The sequence below is a fragment of the Homo sapiens genome, chromosome 20, assembly GCF_000001405.40.
Source record: "Homo sapiens chromosome 20, GRCh38.p14 Primary Assembly".
Lineage (NCBI taxonomy): Eukaryota > Metazoa > Chordata > Mammalia > Primates > Hominidae > Homo > Homo sapiens.
In genome coordinates this window covers 1,802,233-1,804,917 of record NC_000020.11, presented here as the reverse complement: position 1 = coordinate 1,804,917, position 2,685 = coordinate 1,802,233, and the positions used below count along the sequence as shown (strand labels likewise).

General features: G+C 57.0%; 1 annotated feature.

The window, feature by feature from the left end:
- Positions 1,297 to 1,546: a silencer, noted in NCBI's record as "silent region_12594". NCBI's record gives its function as "represses an Ori minimal core promoter by ATAC-STARR-seq in GM12878 lymphoblastoid cells {active_cell/tissue: GM12878}" and the evidence as "EXISTENCE:reporter gene assay evidence [ECO:0000049][PMID:35858748]".

The following is a 2,685-nucleotide window of genomic DNA, read 5'->3' as shown; positions in this document are numbered from 1 at the left end:
CAAGGCAGGAAGGGCACCCACCCTCTGGTCCAACTCCATCCACGCAACTCCTTCAGTGGCCATAACAACACAACTTCCCATCACACCTAGAATAAAAGTCCAGCTCCTTGCCGAGACCTGCAAAGCCTGCTACCCCCAGCTGCTGACCATCTCCAGTCTCCTTACTACTGCTCACTGAGTTCCATCCTTATGTTCATGAAACCCCACATCTACTCTCCCACCTCAAGGCCTTTGCCCTTGCTGTTTTCTCTGCTGGACACGCCCAGCTCTTTGCATGGCTAGTTCCTCTCACTGTGCAGGCCTCAGCTTACTCTCTTGCACAGAGACGTCCATTGACATCCTTTTAGGAGCAGCTCCTGTCTAGCCCCAGCTCTCTCTTGGGCGTGTCACCACTTTACATCCTTCCTAGTACAGCCAAAACTGGTGTAATGGAGTGTGCAAAAGCTTCCACTTGGGGCTGGACTGGCTGGGTCGAAACCCAGGCTGGGCCCAATATTCTCAAGTGCCGAGCCTACCTACTGCGCACTTGAGGCTATTGTTCAACCTGGTTCCCCACATATCGTGCAACCTGTTGTTTCTCCACCTATCGTGCAACCTGTTTCTCCACATATTGTTCAACTTCCTATTTCCCTTCAATAGATTATTCAACCAGCATTTTCCTATCTGTACAAGGGAGTGAGGATTACATGACCTAATGTGCATATAGCATAGAGCAGAGCCTGGCATAAGCGCTGCATTGGTGTTTGCTACGATATTAACACTTGTTGCTATTTGAAATTATTTTGTCTGTATGTTTCTTGTTTATTTCCCTCTTCTCTCTGACAGGCAAACTCCCCACAACAGCCTCCTCAACGCTGCCTCCCACAGTGCTTGGACAAAATAATTACAGCAAGATGCGGGCACTGAGCTGACTCCTTATGTAGGACATCCCAGTGCAGGTAGAGAAACTGAGGGACAGTTGGAGGTTCCTTGCCCTTGGTGATGCGGTGAGAGGGCCTGCAGGCACCAGCCCGGCCGCCCGCACCGCTTCTCGCGGACCCCAGCGGAGCCGCGCTTCTCGTGCCGCTCCTGAGGGTTTCCGCGGCGCCGGCGTTTTTGTTCCCGGCGCGTTTAAGTCGTTGAGGCCGAATCAAGCGAAGGCGGAAAAGCGGCGCGCAGCCCGCGTCAGCTGCAGTTCCGTCCCCCTGGTTCCCGGTGCGCTAACAAAGGCATTTGCATGAAAACAGGAACCCCGTCTGCAGAAAGGACTCGTTGGCGGGGTGCATCGTGCGCTCCAGTGCCCCTACCGCGGCGCCCCGCTCCCCAGGTGGGGAAGAAGCGGGGTGCGGGGACTGGCCCCAAACACGGCTCGGCCGGCGGGGACCGGCACGCTGCGGCCCGGGCGACCCCCTTCTCCGCCCCTTTCCCAGGCCGGCGGAAACGGCCGTCTCGGGCGTGGGCGCGCTTCTGCGGACTCCTCGGGACCTTTTACCCAGGCGTGCGGCCGGGGCGCCCGGGGCCTCGGGGAGCCGGCGCCAGCGTGCGGAGCGCAGCGGAGCGGAGGGAGCGGCGGGAGCGGCGTCCGTGGCTGGTCCAGGTCTGGGGCGCAGCCTCCAGGCTCGCCCTGCGCCGCTCTGGGCCTCGGCCTCTTCGCCTGTTCGACCGGGGCGCAAGCGTGTCACAGCGCCTGTCTGCAGGGGGAAGCGGGCTTCCCAGAGGGGCGCGTGGCTCGCAGAGGGGCTCCGGGAATATCCGCTCCGTTGGCCCTTTCCAGAGCTTTTCCTTAGCTGCTTCTCCTTTGAAATCCGCCTTTTTCCCAGCAGCCCTTGGAGGCAGGATAAATTAAGTGGTAAAAGCAGAGGATTAGGAACCGGGAACCCTGGATTCAAATCCTGCCCGCCGCTGACCAGCTTTGTAACCATGAGCAGGTTACTCCGCCTCTGGAGGCCTCAGCTTCCCCGTCTGTAAAATGGGGCCTAACACAGTCCAGAAAGTGCTTAGTGCCGCAGTGTCACACACCGAGTGCTTAATTCATTCTTAAAATTATCACTTCCAGCTGTGGGACAGGCGCAGGGTAGAAAGGGGTTTTCTTAAGGTCACAGGCGGGGTCAAAGGCAAACCCTCCGGGTCCTCACAAGTAAGACTTGCGAAGCAGCAAGTTCCCCAAAGGGTCTTATCCAGCCGGGTAAGGAGCGCCGGGGCATCTCCCCCCTCTCTCTCCGCGAAGACGCACAAGCAATGGCTGGCGAACCTACTGCCTGGAATGGGGTTCTTGGGTCGAGACCTTTAAAAAAATAAAGAAGAGGAAGAAGAAAGAAAGAAAACAAACAAACATGCACGCAAAAACGGAATGCCAGAGCCTTTGATCTAGGAGCCAGCTTGCTATTCAGGGCCGACCACCGTCTCGCCGCAGTTCCTCCCCGGGAAGGAAGCCTCGCGCTGCCCTCCGGTGGCAGGCGAGGTAGTGTCGCCTGGGCGCAACTCACAAGCAGGGGTTTACCGGAGAAGCCAGCTTCGCTCTGCGCGGGTGGGGGCTGTGGGGGAGAGAGGAGGGAAAATCGGAATTGTTCCCTGACTGCTGTTTTTTGGTCCCGGTGGATCTTGGGAGTCTTGGAAAGAGAATAATAAGGCTCTCTGCATTTGAAAGGCATAGGAGTTTTTACATTCTGGTTTTATTTATTTTTGAATGGATAACACATTTACACG